At 34.3% G+C, this 19086-nt stretch overlaps 1 long non-coding RNA gene across 1 annotated transcript; it reads left to right on the forward strand.

Moving 5' to 3' along the window:
• The first annotated feature begins 2564 nt into the window (after positions 1–2564).
• Positions 2565–6680, forward strand: LOC105370281 (uncharacterized). Its single transcript, XR_942123.2, has 3 exons — positions 2565–2606; positions 3145–3228; positions 6513–6680. It is a non-coding gene; the product is annotated as an uncharacterized LOC105370281 (long non-coding RNA).
• The last annotated feature ends 12406 nt before the right edge of the window (positions 6681–19086 follow it).

Genomic DNA, 19086 nt, shown 5'->3' on the forward strand with positions numbered 1-19086 from the left:
GAGTTAGGTGTTTTAAACAGTTTCCCAGGCAGAATTAGGCTTTAGTCACTTGCAGCTGTAATTAACTTGACAACACACTTATCCCTTACATTTCCTCACTCCTATATCAGCCTTTGTTATACCTCTCAAATAAAATACCTCAGCTAGCATCCTTGTCTTAGGGTCTATTCCTAGAGTAGCTACTTTTTCTTGATTTTTTTTTCTGAATACTATTATAATATTTGCCTTGATTTTAAGGGTATAAATGGACATGGTGAATTTATTTAACAGGCCAGCAGTACTATAACCTGAAAGGCTTAGATAGAGAAATGGACCAGTGGACACTCTGTAATTTATCTTTGAGCTATGGGGTGTGTGTGTGTGTGTGTGTGTGTGTGTATGTGTATGTGTCTGAAGTCACTTACTGTCAATCAGTCAATATCCTGATTGACTTATTTGGCATATCCAGCTGTAGGAAAGCCCAGTTTGCTTATTCCTAACAAACATACTGTCAAGTTAGAGACAACCTTACATTATTCTATCTTCTGTAGATACCAAGGACCTTGCAGCTTTTTCTTTCACTATTTTAAATGGCTACTGACTACTGCAGTAAAAGTGTGTGCTCCCAACATATTCCATGTGTAATCTCTATTTCCTGCCTTTGCTACCTCCAATTAGGTGATAATAATGATGTTTATTTGGCATCCCTTGTGGACATATTACTTTCTTTTAATAGAAAGTTATAATTAAGTTCAGAGAACCTTCCTGCAAACTTGTCCTATGCACATTATGCCTAATATACTCTTTACAACTTATGAAATGCAAGCACTAATCTTTCCTAGCTCTGCATAGCTCCACAGAATTTAATTTTTCTTAATTTTTCTAAAATTGTAAAAAATTCACTGGGAGTCTTTGATGGAAAGTTATGTAACTTGATTCTTACAAACAGAAATTGGAGGATGTCAGAGAAAGCAAAAGCAAAAAACCCAGGAGGTGCAAATTTAGAAAATCATGTCATACATGACAAAGTGTTGAATGAACCACATTAGCTGTCGTTCAACTTACAAAGCTGAGAATAAATCATGGAAATCCTTAAATGGAATAGTAAGTAATTTGGACTTAGCTTATTAGAGATGAAAAAGCCTTAGAAATTTTGGAGTAGAACAGTCATGACGAGTAGTTTAGACATAGTAGGCTGAAAACTAAGCCTATTTGGAAATATGAGTTAAAATTGGAAAGTAATTTTGATACTTTAAAATAGCGTATGTAAGATAAAATGTTTCCTAAAACTAAATTAATGACAGTAGGAATAAACGTGAAGTATTGAAGAAACAAACAAACAAACAAAACACAAAATTCCCACCTGCGGGGTAAAGCTTGCAATTAGTCAACCCTTTAACAGATTTTAACCCAGAATGATTGGTAGAAGTAGGCTGCAAGTTCCCTTTGGTGGCTCTGTGAAACAGAAAGATACAAGGATTTCTGTGGTCTGATAAGAAGTAAATCAGAAAGTTGTACATTGGGGTTTATTACTATGTTTATCAGCTGATGGTTGAAAAGAGATGTTTGGAAATCATTACAATAAATGCAATTACTTTTATAATGTTCAGCAGTCAATTCAGTATGTGAGCTATGACCTGCTGTAGTGTTTAGGAACACAGACTACATTAGAGAGTCAAATTCTTTAGCTGGTCATGTAAAAATTACTCTCCTAAGCTTCATTTCCCTCATCTTTTAACAGGAACAACAGAGCATATACCACAGAATTATTATAGAGACTAAAAGAAAAAAAATGCACTTCAAGCATTTAGCAAAGTGCATTTTACCTGGCAAAAACTCAATTCATGTTGATAATGATGAAGTTAATAATGAAGATGATCATTATAGTGATGATACTGTGGATGATGGTATTCAACATGATGATATTTATAATGATGTCAATGATGATCAGGAAGATAATTTCTATTTCCTCTTTAATTGGATAAAATGTCCAACTTTGAAGGGATAAACAACAGAATATTACTCTTTGAACCAAATGCAAATAACACATTTATAGACCTCTCACTATACTCTTCTTATGTGGTGATATGGTTAGGCTTTGTGTCCCCACCCAGATCTCATCTTGAATTATAATCCCCATAACCCCCCTAGCCCCACTTGTCAAGGGATAGACCAGGTACAGGTAATTGAATCATGGGGTCAGTTTCCGCCATGCTGTTCTAGTGATAGTGAGTGAGTTCTCATAAGATCAGATGGTTTTGTAAGGGGCTCTTCCCGCTTCACTCAGCACTTCTCCTTCTTGCCACCTTGTGAAGAAGGTGCCTTTCTTCCCCTTTGCCTTCCATCATGATATTAAGTTTCCTGAGGCCATGCTGAACTGTGAGCCAATTAAACCTAATTCTTTTATAAATTACCCTCTCTCAGGCAGTTCTTTATAGCAGTATGAAAATGGACTAACAGATGAGGCTATCTAAGTATATAATTCAATAGAATGCAAATAGTTTTCACTATAATTTTGACAGACCACATTTCTTATTCTTAAATGATGAAGATGTCCTTCCCACTAATATAGTCATGCTTCACAGGAGCAGTTTTACAAGCACCACATCTGCCACACACAGGTAGCAGTAAGTATAATATTCTAAAATGTATCTTTAATCTATGTCTGTCCTTAATTATGATTAATTTGAAAAACCTGGTCACTGTATTATGTCCGACATAATTGACATCAGACATGTATTATATTTAGGATATTTTATGTGCATTTAAATATATATTTCTTTAAACAACTTATCAATGTTGGCTAGTCATTCTTATATTTCTCCTTGAATGATACTGACTTTCCTGTCACCCTTAGACACCTTTTAGAATTTATGTCAAAGATTTTCATGGTAGCTACACTTTTTAGTTGTTTTATAATTAGTAAGTTTATGAGGGCATAATGGCCTATTATCCTCTACTGATTTGTTTGAAATTTGTTATGACTTTAAAAAGTAGAACTTTCAAAGTTAATGAACATTATAGATAGGAATTATAAACAGAATATTAATAAGAACTGATAATTAAACCAAATAGGTCTTTTCTATGTTTAAAATCATCAAATAAATGTGCCTGGCATTTGTATTATTTCCATCTATTTGACTTCATTTTGTATTGCTGTAACAGAATACCACTGGAAGGTCCAAGATCCAGGGGCCCACATCTGCTAAGGGCTTTCATGCCGTGTCATCCCATGAGGAAAGACAGAGGGTAAGAAGGCATGAGAGACAAGAGAGGGCCAAACTCACTTTTATAACCACCCACTCTCATGATGACAGTCAGGCCCCTTCTGTGATAACAACATTAATCCATTCATGAGGGCAGAGCTCTCGTAGCCTAATCACCTCTTAATAGTCCCACCTTTTTTGTTTGTTTGTTTGTTTTTTTTTGTTTGTTTGTTTTGAGACGGAGTCTGGCTCTGTCGCCCAGGCTGTAGTGCAGTGGTGCCATCTTGGTTCACTGCAACCTCCACCTCCTTCAAGCGATTCTCCTGCCTCAGCCACCTGAGTAGCTGGGACTTCAGGCACACATAACCTCGCCCAGCTAATTTTTGTATATTTAGTAGAGACGGGGTTTCACCATGTTGGCCAGGATGGTCTTGATCTCCTGACCTCGTGATCCGCCCTCCTCGGCCTCCCAAAGTGCTGGGAGTACAGGCATGATTTACCGCGTCCAGCCAATAGTCCCACCTTTTAACAACATCGCAATAGCAATTAAATTTCAACATGCGTTTTAGAGGGGACATTCAAACCATAGCACCTTCAATGTAAGCAACAGAATAATGTACTCCATCTTAAATTATTGAGTGTAAGTTTTATTTTAGGAAATTATTTATCTTATCAGAAACTATTTCCAGAGATTTGTATCCATTGCTTCAGTAACAAAGTAATAGCTACTTAGAATTGTGTGTATATTTATAGAAAGAGTATTTTATTTTAATAGAACCATATAACTTTCCAGTAATATTGGAGAATATTTTCCAAAATGAGGGCAAGTGATTGCACTCTTTTCTAATGCATTATCTTTATTAAATATTTGACTTTAAAGCACCATCCGTCTTTACTCCTAATAATATACATTTATTACATATACTATATTCCTTAGTGATAATACTTAAATCCAAATCATATCTGAAGTTGATTATGACCGTCTGTCTAGGAAGATCACCTATGCGATGTATTGAGTAATGGCTATTACCATACACTTTAGTTTTCTAAATGCATCATGTAATTTATTTAGGTGCATATTGCTGGAATTGACTTGAAGGTAGCCTGATACATTTTTCACTTATTTTCTAACTGTTGCCTATGCTCTTTTGCACCACATAATGTTTTAAATTAGTAACTTGAAGCCATTTCATTGAATGATGTTACCTATATAGTCTATCCAGCAAGGCAGTTATTGTCTCCAAATTCATACTTATTGCAACAATGGAAATTTTAATCTAAAGGAAAACACCTTTTAGTAATTGAGCCTAATTTTAAAGTACCTTTTCAAAAGCTTTTATCTATAAATGTATGCACACCTACCTCACATTAAAATGCCCAAGGGATGGAATTTTGAATAAAAATAGCAAAATAATTAAGCTATTCTTCAGGTTAATCTTTTTTTCTGAGAAATTCTTAATAGGACTTACATTTATACCCATTCAGATTGTCCACAATAATAACTGTGATCCTTGTTAAGAATGTGTAAACAGAAAAGAATTAAGTTTGTCTTCCATTTTATATTCTATAAATTAGACAGTGTTCTGTAAATATAAAACTGTCTCCAAATTAACTTTCTATTTACAAAACAACTCCAGAGATGTCAAACTCCATTACTAATGTTAGGAATGATGCTCTAAATTAGCCTGAAAATAGCAAGTGGGAAATAAACATATAAAATTACTGATCCAAAGAATCACAATAAAAATACACTCTTTAAAAATGCATAGAAGCATAACAATTCCCAATGATTTTGCACAAATTTGTAGTCAATTTAAAATGTTTTACTGCCAACAGAGAAAGTGAAATGCTTTTCTGAAAGGAATGGAATATAATCAAAATTGTTGTGTTATTCTTCTGTTGTAATTTGACTGCCAGAGTATTGCTATCAAAATTAGTATTAAATTAATTATAACTAATTATCGATTATTATATGTGCAAAGCCAATATCACATTACTTAGTAGAAAGTAAAATAAGGGCAAGTTTTGATTTTAGATAGCTAACATATAGTTTAGAAGAATAAACACATTCAAAATCTATGTACCAAAAAAGTATCAAACAAATTAATATTCAGCACTATAGTATAATTGATCCTAGAGTAAGTTGATCAGTCAGAAGCTTAGTCAATTTTTGGAAAAAAATATATAGAGGCAAAATGTTCAAAAGATACAGGCTGGAGATTGGGAAAGTATGTAGTAGCTTAGAAAATATGTAAATATGCAAAAATAATAGGTGCTGATGGTGATGAAATTAAGACAGTTTAAATGTAGCAAGAATCATACTTATTACTCCAATTTCAAACTTCAGATTTTGCATCCACTTGGTTTATTCAAATTTATCCTTACCTTATTTCTGGGAGACATAAAAGACATTTTATTTCTATTACAAAAAATACGACCTAAGCAGAGTTTAATTTACAAAATCACATGTATATAGATAAATATTGTGTTCTAATCAAAAGTTGTGGCATGTTGGAGCTAAGCATAAACAGAATTCAGAGACGAACGTTTCCATTAAAGATTTCTGAAAATGTACTTGCCTCATTCAAATTGACTCTTATGTTCATTAAATCTAGATACAAGTTTCTTAAATGTGCACCTCACTTTTACCTTGACAAACTTATTCAAAGTTAATGATAGAAAAAATAAATTATTCTTTGTCATCCAATTTCTAGAAGGAGACTGGCAACTGCCAAAGGGTAGATCAAAAAGCTTGCAGGTAAAAATTATTACCAAGTCCCATGATTCTAGAAGCTACATTTTACAGTTCTGTCTTCAATAAAAGTGACAAGTAAAGCTATTGTCCATTCTGCTTTAAAAATAAATCCCTCAGAGTAATTTTTAGAATAGTTTTGGTTGTTTGTATCAAGTTGCACTTGAGCCTAGATTTTAGTAGTAGTGGATTATTTTATCCAAAGGGAAATAGCAGTTTCCAGCCCATATATTATGCCTTAAAAATATTGACTTATGTTTCTCTTCAGATTACCATAATGTAAAAGAGTTCAATGAGCTCTTTGTTTCCCATAGGATCCTGTTCTCTGCAAATGCAAACAGTTCTTTTATTACAAGGCTTTTTCAAGGGGAAGAGAAAACTCATTTGGCAGATAAGGTTAACCTTTTAAAAAATCAAGTGTGTTAAGCTCAAGGTGACTATGCAGATAAATCAGGTATATGATTCATATCTTCCCAGACTGAAATATATTATTTTATATTTATCTTAGTATGCTTATTGTTTGTGCTAAGATACTGAAATCTAATGGAAACTAAACTAGTATTATTTTTTCCTAGCAAGGAGAGTCAGATCCAGAGAAAAGTGACACATCTAGATACAAATTCTAGGATCTTCCCGCCTTTCAGTATCATCACTGCTTTTCCACTTTGACACTATATGAACTTCTAGGTTTCATATGAAACATTCTGTATTATTTTCAGAAATAAAAGAAGCTTCATACAAGATAAATGGCTAAGATGGCTTAACCTGTGTAAAATGTTACTAGAGCTTCCCAACTCATCTGAACTTACACCCCTACCTCTAATTCTTCTGAGATGGAAACCGAAAGGTGTGTTAAGAGCCTGATTATTTGTGGTTATGAGGTAACCGAAAAGGATTGTGCAATAAATATAAATGTAACCCATGTGGGTTAAGAAATAAATACCTTTTTTTCATCATTATCCTTAACATCAATGTGTTGAAAGAAAAACCTTAGCAAAAATAAATTTATCTGACTTTAATTGAGCAAAGAACACTTTACAAATTGGGCAGCCTCTGGAGCCAGAGGAAGTTCAAAGACTCCAGTGCAGCCACATGGTGGGAGGAGGTTTACAGACAGAAAAAGGAAAATGAGGTACAGGAAATGGAAGTGAAGTACAGAAAAAGCCATATTGGTTAAGCTCTGTGTTTGCCTTATTTGAACATGATTTGAACGGTTGGCCACCTTTGATTGGCCAAAACTCAGTGATTGGCATAAGAGTAGGCTGTTTACAACTCCCTTTAGGTTGTACAGTCTGTTTACAACTCCCCTTAGGTTGTAGTTCACGAGGTACAGAGACTTAAAATATGTAAGGAGGCAGCTTTCAGCTACACTTGATTTAACAATAGCAAACATTATATCATGCCTGGCTAAAGCACTTAAATTAGCAACTTATTCAATTGTAATTACTCTATGAGATGATACAATAGTGGGCCACTTATCCAAGACAACTCATATTATGCTTCATAAAATTTGTAAAATCAAATGCTTAATTTAAAAAATAGCATTTGTAATCCCAGCTACTCCGGAGGCTGAGGCAGGAGAATTACTGGAAGCCAGGAGGCCGAGGTTGCAGTGAGCCAAGATCGTGCCACTGCACTCCAGCCTGGGAGACAGAGCAAGAGTACCTTTCAATCAAATTAATTAATTAAAATAAATAAATAAAAACTTTTATCCTGTATGCTCTTTCTCTACCCTGCTATCATGTGCAGTAGCTTAGTATGGTACAAATTAGAGAAATTCAGAGAAAGTACATCTGCTCTGCAAATTGTCAACATTCCTAGGCCTAAACTAGTAAGGGAGTACCAGGAAGAGCTATACAGCAAAAAGTCAAAGTCATGCAGTGAGAATGATTAGCATTTTTTAGTTCTCATACTATGTTTTTGCTTAACTCAGTGATATACAGCTTTTCCCACCTAATTTGAAGGCATGCACAGTTCTTAACTTTATTTCTGTTTGATTCCTTTGTCTGCAATTCAGTTTATTCAAAACTAGAAGGACTGAGGAGAAATGTGATGAATTATGTACAGGTTATTGATAACCACTCCTGTAAGTGTCAAGGAAATTGTGTCTCCAGTATAGGGAATGAGGCTGCAAAATTATCCACTTTGGGAAATCACACATTTAGAGAAACATTAAGTTAGAAAAAAGTGCCTCGAGAAGGGAAAATCAAATATAAAAAGCCTATTTCTGAGTCTCAATTTTGGACCTATGTCTCAGGATATTGGACCTAAGGTGCATTTGGAAAATGTCATCACAATAGAAATAAACAAACGTGTATGTTTGCTGTAATGATTCATCCATGCAGTGACTAAAGTTAACTGGACATAAGCCATGATGAACCATGGAATAAATCCACAAATTAAGGGAAATAACACTATTCTGAAGTGAGCTTTATAGTTGGGGGAGAATATATAAGTGGAGGATAGATGTATTTAACACAAAGAACTATTTGTACATAGAATTTCATGAGCTCACCAGAGGATGTCTAATACTGGCTAGTTGTGATAGAGACAGGAGACAGCCAAGGGTCCCCAGCGAAACTCTGCCTTCAAGCCTAAATCAGCCTGAAGGCTGAAAAACTGGACTGCTAGTCCCGGAAGAAGCCCACATTTCCCGACTGATTCTCTCGGAATAATGCCCACCTACAAACTGGGAGGACGAGGTGGAGCCTCTGAGAGTTCACGCAGTTTGAATTGGGGGGGAGCCTGACCTCTTCAGTTCCCATGTGGTGACCTGGGATTCAATTTGTGAGGTGGGAGACCTGCTAGCAGGACTCTCTCTGGCTTTGCCGAGAGTTATTTTTCCTTTCCTTTTTGCCCAATTAATTCCACTCACCTTTCTATGTCCACAAGCCTAATCTTTCCTGGTCTGTGACAGAAACCCAGTTTTAGCTGAACCCTGGAGAAAGTTCTGCAACAGTTGGAAACTATCTTTAAACATTTTTATAAGTGCATTTTTTTTCAGGAAGAAATATATATTGGCTCTTGTCACTGGTTCCTGTCACAGAGCTAAAACCTTTGTAGTTTCCTGTGTTGTTGGAGTGATAGGAGGAGATTTTATTCTAATCTGGTGGCTCTTGCCAGCCCCTAGATAGCTTCAGGATGGGGGGGTTGGATGCCAGAAACCTCAAGCCTTGATTAGAAGCCTGAAACTTTCCCCTTCAACCTTTGGGGAGAGGAAAGGAGCTAGAGATTAAATCAATTGATTATTCCAATGTGATGAAACCATGAAAATCCCTAAATAATGGGGTTCAGAGAACTTCCAGATGGTGAATACTACCATCTTCCCAACTCCACAGAGATTGAAACTACCGTGCTTGGGACCCTATGTGCGTCTTCATCTGGCTGTTCATTTGTATCCTTTATAATAAACCAGTAAAGTGTATTTCTGAGTTCTGTGAGTTATTCTAGCAAATTATTGAACCTGAGGAGGTTGTCTTGGAGCCCCTAATTTATAGCCAAGTATAAGAGACCCAGGACTTATGACTGGCACCTGAAATGGGGTCTGGCAATCTTATGGGACCGAGTCCATAACCTGTAAGCTCTGCATTAACTCAGGGTAGTTAGCGTCAGAATTGAATAAAACTGTTGAACACACTTGGTTAGTATCCAGAGAACCAGAGAACTGGTTGTTGATGTTGAAAAACACTACAGAATTTCAAAAAAGAAAAGAGACAGGTGGATGTCAAACAAGACTATAATAGACCCAGTCGTTTTTGTTAACCATGGTGAGTCAAGTCATGAATTGTCTTTGGAACTAGTAATAAATGTGAGAGTTATCACCAAGAAAATAGGCATACCCTTTTGCCAGAGATGGAGTGAAGGAACTTTTAATTGTAGTTAGGTTATCTCACTGACATGATCCAGTTTTGGCAAACTTCTAGGCAAAGAAATGTCGTGTTATCAGAAGAGTGAAGAACCAGAAATGAGGTGGCTATGTCCTAACCTCCCAAAAGTACCTCTAACAAGCAAAGTCCAAGAGATGGGGAAAATTGGTCTCTAACTCCAGATGGTGTTTCATAGTTAGCAAATATTTAAGAGTTATTTGATAAAATCTACTGACACCTAGAAGTTTGTTTTGCTTTAGTTATGGGACACATTTGCTGCAGTTTGTGGACATAGTGATAACTGTGTGAACTGGGATAGCATAGGTTGTACTGCAGTAACAACACTAATCACCACAAACACAAGAAAAAAAATCTCACTGACATCAAACAACAAAGGTTTATTTCTTGCTCATTGTACCTATCCACATGGGCAGCTTGGCCACTTGGTTTAATCTTGTTCTCCTCTCTCTGAGACCTGGAAAGAAGGAAAGAGTACTATTGTGGGAAAGAGAAAAGATAATACGAATAGTTTCTCATCAGGAATTAGATGCAATAAGCTAAAAATGACATGTGACTTTCACTTATGGCTGACTGGTAAGAGTTAGTTTAAAGCTCCAATAAATCACAAAGAATCAAAAAGTAGAATGTTACTATGTGTTTAGAAGAAAGAATAATTGGAATTTGATCAAATAATGTCAATGACTTTGAGATATTTTCTGCCTTCTACCTATGCTTGTTCTAGTTATTCTTCTAAGCAATTTTATTCTCTCTACACATACACACACACGTGTGTGTGTGTGTATGTATGTATATGTATATATATGTATTCCTCATGACTTTCTTAAAATAATTTTTTACCACCTGTGAGATAAAATATGGAATTACAAGGCTGCAGGGGAAAAAATTAGATCTTTTTCTTACCAACTAAAAAGTTTATGACTGAGACCCTACAACAAAAGACAGATTAACAAAGAAAAAACACATACATCTATTTCTTACGAGTTTTATGTGACATGGTAGCCTTCAGAAACAAAGACCTAAAAGAAACAAGATAAACTGTGTATTTTCAAGTGTAAATTTGATGGAGAGCAGACAGCTGTGTGTAAGTGTAATTGGACAAAAAGGGTATGATCTTGTTACAGTAGTTAGTTAGGGATGCACAGGGCAGGAGAGGGATCCCCCACCCACGAGGAATGTCAGGCGACAATCAGGTGATGGTCTAGCAGTTATCACACTGCCTGTCTAAAAGCGATAATTGGTTGGGCTGGTGCCCGGGAGAGGCAATTTCCTGATGGTCCAGCAGTTGTCACACTAAAATGATAATTGGTCTCAGGCACCAGGGAGAGGCAATTTCCCAAGGGATAAAAACATTTGAAATTGGTAATCAGCAGCTTCCAATAAAATCTCAGGAATTGGGTGAGTAAACTCCAGCATGTGCATTAGGAGACAAAATGGCAGGGTATAACCTTCCAGAAGCATTCCACCAGAAAAGGTAAAAATGCCTCAGGCGATCATGCATACAACTCCAGCAAACACTGTGCATGTTCACCTCTCAAGTGTTAGCAGGCCACCTTGCATGTGGGCAGCCCACCCTAAGGGAAGAATCACAGGGAAAGGGACGCAAGGCCCTGCAAGTATGCCAACATATAAAACCCCAAGTCAAATGCCTCACTTGACCTCCAAAGTGCCTGCTTGGATCTCTTTCAAGTGCACTTTCCGTTGTTTCCTGCGACAGAGCTTTTTAATAAACTTCCACTCCTGCTCTGACACTTGCCTCGGTGTCAGTGTCTTTTTCTGCCTCATGCCCCTCAGTCAAATTCTTTCTTCTGAGGAGACAAGAATTACGGTTGTTGCAGACCCATAGGGATTCACCACCGTAACTCGGTTATTTGCCACCACTAACTATCTGATGGGAATAAACTCCAGGGGGAGAGACTTAGCATAGCCTGTTTCTTCAGTTTCTTCTTGGCATCTCTGTGTCTTCATTGATGCCCTCTGGGTATAGAGAAGGATCCTCACGAATGAGGGTCTTATGATTTTCTTTAGAGGAAGATCAGGTCAGAGAATTTTTCATAGCCTGCTTCAGGGAAGAAAGGTATGGGGAAACTTGAGTTATCCTTTGCTTATGTAGTTTTCTCAATTTCTTTTAGCTTAAAATACTCCATATAACAAGATGCCATATTTTGGGATAACATGTCCTGAATCCCATCAAGGTCTTTCATAAAGTGGACCTACATCTCCTGTCTCACATCTGGTCAGCTCATAACACTCTATGGTACAACTGTACCAGATTAATCAAAATCCTTGTAATGCTCAGTATAATTTCATATATATTTCCCAGCTAGAATTCCTCCTTTCCCCTTGTCATCTGTTTCTCAATGTTGTATTTATTCAGTAAGAACCAAGGTAGTCGTCAATGTACTTCACTTGAGGCATTTTGCACATTCTTGAGTCTGCAACATGCTGCAGACTTGATAGCTCCATGAAGGCATTGAATACTTTGTGTTGTAATTATTATTTGTCTACAAAGATGTCTTTGTTACTAGACTGTAAGCTATACGTGATTTATGCATTTGTTTGCCTTACACTAGGCCCAGTACCTGACATAGAAATCATTCCATAGATGCCTAGTGCATTAATAAAATGATTAAATGAACTAATATAGCACAAATTGTTTTGTGTTATATTTTATATTAAGTGAACTAATATAACACAAATTATTTTGTACTGCTTCGTTCTTTATAAGGCAACTAAAGCAAAACCCTACACTTTACATCTCTTTTTATGCTCAGGATCTGAAATAGGATTTAGAAATAGATTCTCAAAAATTGTTTTCAAATGAGTTAATGAATAAATACTATTTCTGGACTAACATTAAATTTCTTTCTTAGTTACATTATTTTTAAATGAGCACAAAAATACAAGTTTAATTGTAACAAATATATAGTGGAGAGAAATCTTAGGCCAAATTGGCCAAATTATTTTTATTGGAAAAAAAAAGTAGATTCACTAACACTAGCCTTAAAAAGTAAAATCCTTATATGAGAATGACCTGAACAATTGATCTGCTGTCAAGCACTCCAACCAAGGTGATTAGTCTTTCATAAATAGCTCAATTTTTGTCTTCTTAAAAAAATAGTTCATTTTACATTATTAAAAGCCACAGGCAAAGCTGGAGTTTGTCTGAGTTTAGGGTACCTGGGGAAGATTGGAAGGTCCTTATGCATAGGAAATTAGTTTCCAAAGAGGAGTTAAGGAACAAATATTTTCAGTTTAATTGTTTATTTCCTAGAGCCTTACAGATTGTCATCTAATTTCAACAAACTCATAAATACTATTCAGCCATCGCTATTCATCTATTCACTCCAAATCATGAAACTACAGAAATGGATATAGAAATAGGTTTTGTAATAAAATATTCAGGCCCTGTAAGATTTCAAATTTCAGATAATATTCTCAGATTTTAATGTAACTTAAATATATCATTACAAATATACCTGTGGCATATTCTGGCATCTACAGTGCATTTCAGGATTTTAATAAATAGGCAAATCTTCAAAGATAAAGTAAGACATGAACAAAAGTGGGAGATAAACAATGATAGTGAGAATTCTATATTATACTTGAATGTCATAAGAAACTGAAATTCATGTCATTTCATGTTTCCAGCATTCAAACTGAATAATGTTTTTTAGACTTTTCTACTTCTATTTGGAATCTCATTTCTTTACATTTTCTGTTGTTGTTGCCACTGAAAAATGATACAGACTTCTTGCTTTCTTGTTTAAGGAAATAACAACTGTTGGAGACTGAGGATATCTGTTGCAAATTTCAGCTACAAAGATCTAAAGCCTTCAAAGTGTGTTTGTAATGGAAATTCCTATAGAATTTTTAAATGACATAGGAATTGAAGGTTTAAACATTATTTCATAAAAGCCTCTTTTTTCCTCTTTGATTACTAACATTTAAGGGTAAAAATTGTTTGAAAACCAAGGATTTATTTTACTTTAGAGTTTGCATATGATAAGAATTTTATCAACAAAAATTCTGTCTCAGCACTTAACCCACTTCAAATACAAGTTATACCAAAGAATCCTCCATCTAATACACAAGGGCTCTAAAGTAGCTTGGTAATTGAAAAAGTTTGCAATTTAATAAAACCTCGGTCATTGTTTTTTTTTCTATCATAAAGAATTCCTATATTGCCAAAATATTCTTATTTTTTAGATACCTATGTTTTTTTTCCTAGTTAGATATTAAACTCTGTCCAGTAGTAATGTGGAGCTATGCTGACAAGCGGCCACTTAAGCAATTATCGAATTGCAAGGTGAAATGGAATAACCCTGCTATCAAGTAGATTCTTAATAATATGCCATAACTGAATGAAGACATCAATGAAATACATTTTAAAATAATTATCCATCATGATAAACTTACTAAAATTAATTTCAAACTAGAATTATAACAATAATATAAATTTACTTGTAAGCAAAAGTAACTTGACCGAGTCAAGAAATTAGATTAAATGTACCAAAATTTATCTGCTTTTAAATTTAAGGCATATGTTTGCATGATTTAGGATATTGTAAAATGGTAGAAAAAAAGAGCAGAAATCTTTAAGAATATATAAACTGGTGTCCAAAGCCAAATTGCAAATGAGAGGACATTTGATTTTAGACATAAAAGTGAATAAACCTGAATATATATACAATAGAAATTATAGCAAGGATAAATGCTGAGGTCACTTAAAAGTTTTATTAACGATGAACTAGCTCAATCTTTTCTTACTTCATTTATAATAGATTGAGAAAAGTATTTGAGATGATGAAACTGTATGCAAAATAATTTAAATCTCAAAGCAGGAAATGTCACTATGCACATTTTATTGTTGTTATTAATAATAATATAAATTCAAAATATTGAAATACAGTCAGGGAAATTATGTCAGGGATTAGTTCAGTTCTATTGATAGTATATGGTAAGAAAAACTACTTCTAAAATGAGATATGGCTAATATGTTCTTTCACTATTGCACGGTGCTATTTACTCATTCATTCAAATATTTATTTTTATCTAGGTCATTCTTTCTTAAGGAAACACATATTAAAATATTATCTAGTGCAGAAATTATTTTTTGGCAAATTTTTAATAGTTTTAGTGGAAGTTTAAACATTTTGATTGATCAAGGAAGGAAAATTTGATACACTACAGTACAAATTTAACAAACCAAACTGATATACCTATTGTTTTAAAGAAAGATTGTCTCTTCTGGGTGATAGATAATGAAGAATTCAAATGGAACCTCAGAGTCAGCCACACACAAGTATCACCAGATATATGTCTTTCCAACCTAAATTTACTTCCATGGCATCATAGATTATAATTTTCTTCTACCAGTTCCAGATTACTTAATTAAGCATGAGGATAATCTTAATAAAAGTGTATCGCTAACTATGGAATGTACTTTTTTCACAATATTGTTTTCACTCAATAACAAATAGCCAGGAAAATGATCATAAAATGTTGTACTTTAGTAGATGTAGTAGATAACTAACTTTAAATGAAACCCTAGACCTTACTTTTTTGTTGTTGTTGTTTTGAGACAGAGTTTCACTCTTGCTGCCCAGGCTGGAGTGCAATGGCGCGATTTCCGCTCACTGCAACCTCCGCCATCTGGGTTCAAGCAATTCTCCTGCCTCAGCCTCCTGAGTAGCTGGGATTACAGGTGCCTGCCACCACACCCGGCTAATTTTTTGTATTTCTAGTAGAGAGGGGCTTTCACCGTGTTGGCCAGGCTGGTCTCGAACTCCTGACCTCAGGTGATCCACCCGCCTCGGCATCCCAAAGTGCTAGAAATACAGGCGTGAGCCAATGTGCCCAGCCCTAGACTTTATTTTTTAAAACTAGTTTTAGGTTTATGACAAAATTGAGCAGAAGGTACAGAGTTCTTCTAAGCCCCCTACCTTCCCCCGACATGCATAGCCTTTCCATTTTCAGTACCCACTACCAGAGTTGTACATTTATCACATGGATGAACCTACCTTGACACATCATCATCACCCCAAGTCCACACTTTACATTAGGTGCATTATATGGGTTTGGATAAACGTATAATGACATGTACTTACCATTATAGCAACACACAGAGGATTTCCATTGTCCTAAAAATCCTCTATCCTATTCATCCCTTCCTCACTCCTAGCTCCTGGCCACCACTGAACATTTTATTGTCTCCATAGTGTTTTACCTTTTCCAAGATGTTGTATTATTGGAATACTTTAATAAGTGAAAGAAGCCAATCATTAGTAAGTGAAAGAAGCCAATCTGAAAAAGCGGATACATTATGCAGCTTTTTCAGATTGGCTTCTTTCAGTTACTAATATGTATTTATGTTTCCTCCATGTATTTTTATGGCTTGATAGCTCATTTCTTTTAGTGCTGAATAGCATTTCATTATCTGTATGTGCCACAGTTTATTTATTAATTAATCTAATTAAGGGCATATTCGCTACTTCCTGGTTTGGGCAATTATGAATAAAGCTGCTTTCATATAAGCATCATTATGTGGGTTTTTGTGTGAACAGAAGTTTTTGACTCCTTTGGGTAAAGACCAAGGGGTGTAGTTGCAGGATTATATAGTAAAAGTATGTTTAGTTTTGTAAGAAACTGCCAAACTATTTTCCAAAGTGGTTGTACCATTTTTCATTCCCACTAGCAATTACTGAGTTTCTGTTGTTCCACATTCTTGTCAGCATTTTGTGATGTTAAAGTTTTTCATTTTGGCCATTGTAGAAGGGGTGGATTGGTATCTCATTGCTGCTTCCATTTGCATTTCTCTGATTACATATGATGTTGAGCATATTTTCATATGCTTATTTGTCATCTGTATATCTTATTTACTGAGGTGTCAATGGTCGTAGCCCAATTTATAATCAGTTTTTTTCTTATTGTTGAGTTGTAATAGCTCTTTGTATATTTTGAATAACAGTCTTTTATCAGATATGTCTTTTGCCAACTTTAACTTTTAAATGCATTTTCTCTATATATAGTAACAATTCTCTACATCTTTGAAGACTTCTTATAATATCACTAAAATGCCTTGATGTGCCACCCAAGTTTTATGCATATTTCTTAAATTTCTAACTTCTTTATCACTGTGTCTGTGCATATTCTCCTATTTTTTGTCTAAAAAATAAATAAAAATTGATTCTCTATGTTTATTTAAGACAGCATTTTACCATTACATTTTTGAAATATTATTTATGAAATTTTTAAATTTTATGATTTAATTTTGTCAAATTTAGGGAGATAGATTTTTTTGAACAAGCTATCATGCCACAACTAAATATTTTATAACAGCCTTTTCTAAATGAGAAAACATAAATAAAAGTACATAATTAGTGACAAAACATTTTTTCCATATGAGCATTCTTTCAAGGATAATGATTTAGATATGTCTGAATATATGAAATATTAGTATTTATTTTGATTATAATAACTCACAAAATTTCAGGTTACAAAAGGTGCACAAGGAAACTTGAGAACATAATGCACATATTATAGTTCTGGTTATGGTTTGGTATATATATGCGTATATTGAAGCCTATCAAATTGTGTACTTTGAGTATATGTAGTTTATTTGCTAATAGTAAGTACGTTAACAAATTTATTAAAAAGTCAATGACCAGTACATTTAAAATACATGAATATTCCTGCATCAAAATTTTAACTCAGTAAAATCCAATAAAAATGTTGACGCAAATAAGATCTTGAGCTTTTATTTCCATTTATCATTTTTAGCCCTCATCCATTCGGGTATATGTCATGATAATAATGTGCAATCAAAAGTGACTTCAGATTTGAAGAGCGATACTCTGTATGTGCAGGTATTAAATATAATGATAGATTCACATTTAATTGTAGAATGCAAGTTCACTGTGGGTACAGAAAACGAGGTCTAATATGCCAATGACACAAACTCACCTAAAAATTACTGTGAACAACCATTACAAGATTGCCTACAACTAAATTTCCACTTTTAGGAAATAAATTTTATACTTTAAATACCAGTTTAGCTTCTATAGAGACTATGTAAATCTGTTTCAACTCTGTTACAACTGCTTTCTGATATCTTCTCCTTTAAAAACACGTATATTTTTATAAATAGATATAAATTCATATACTACATATACTTATGAATAACTATCCATACAAAGAGCAATTTCTTTTAATCTCAAAGTATTGTTTTAAAGGTAGATGATATACATGTCTATTTTTTGGTCCAGTTATATATTTTCCAGTTTTGGAAACAATGCTTTGCATAAAACCCATGCAATTTCAGTAATCAGAATTTAAAATGAAAACTATATATTTTCAACAAATCTCCTTGTTTATCTGTACAAAGCAATACTGAATTCTTAATAAACATCTATGGTTTTTAATGATATAATTAATACTATTAGGAAAGAAAACATTAATGACATAAGAGAAAGTAAAGACAAGTATTCATTTTGCAATGGTGCCTATGCATATGGTGACAGCGTAGAAAGCAATGTCTGCATCAGTGTAATGCCCCCAATTTCTAAAATTTGAAATATTAAGATAATTAGTTGAATAACACTCAGAATTGTTTGACTCCAAGCAGAGGTTCCAGCCTCATTATGATACTGAAATTATTTTACCCAGTTCTTCCCCATTGGTTTTTATTCCATAGTCTGAAGCATAGAATGACTAGTCACTGAATCAGATTAGAAAACATAATGAACACTGCAGGAGCACTGTTGTACCAAGAAGCCTGACGGTCAAAGAAGAACTGCACTTGATCTTACGCACAATTAAGCACAGCACCAGACGTTAAGTACTCCAGGGTAGGTCTTCCATGTTTCACAATTTAGTTCAAGTCTGAGAAATCAGTCTGGTATTCAACTACCTATAAGTATGTATATATTATACTTTTATGTATTTATTTGTAGATACATACATGTATGTATGTACACATATATACATATATATCATACTTTTATGTAATACATATGTATTTATCATACTATTTTATGTTTCATGATGTAAACTCTGTTATATCTTAGAAATAAGACTATTGGTAACATAATAACATATTCATTTAAAAATATTTTAGTCACAGATTCTTATTCATTGCTGTCTTGATTAGCATAATACTAAGACTGCCATGTAATATGTTGATTAAATAAAATTCATATTAATAAACTGTATTCATTTACTTTTGGGAAAACATCTGAAGAACATGATTCCTTGAGCTGTATTT

This window comes from Homo sapiens, chromosome 13, assembly GCF_000001405.40.
Source record: "Homo sapiens chromosome 13, GRCh38.p14 Primary Assembly".
Classification (NCBI taxonomy): Eukaryota; Metazoa; Chordata; class Mammalia; order Primates; family Hominidae; genus Homo; species Homo sapiens.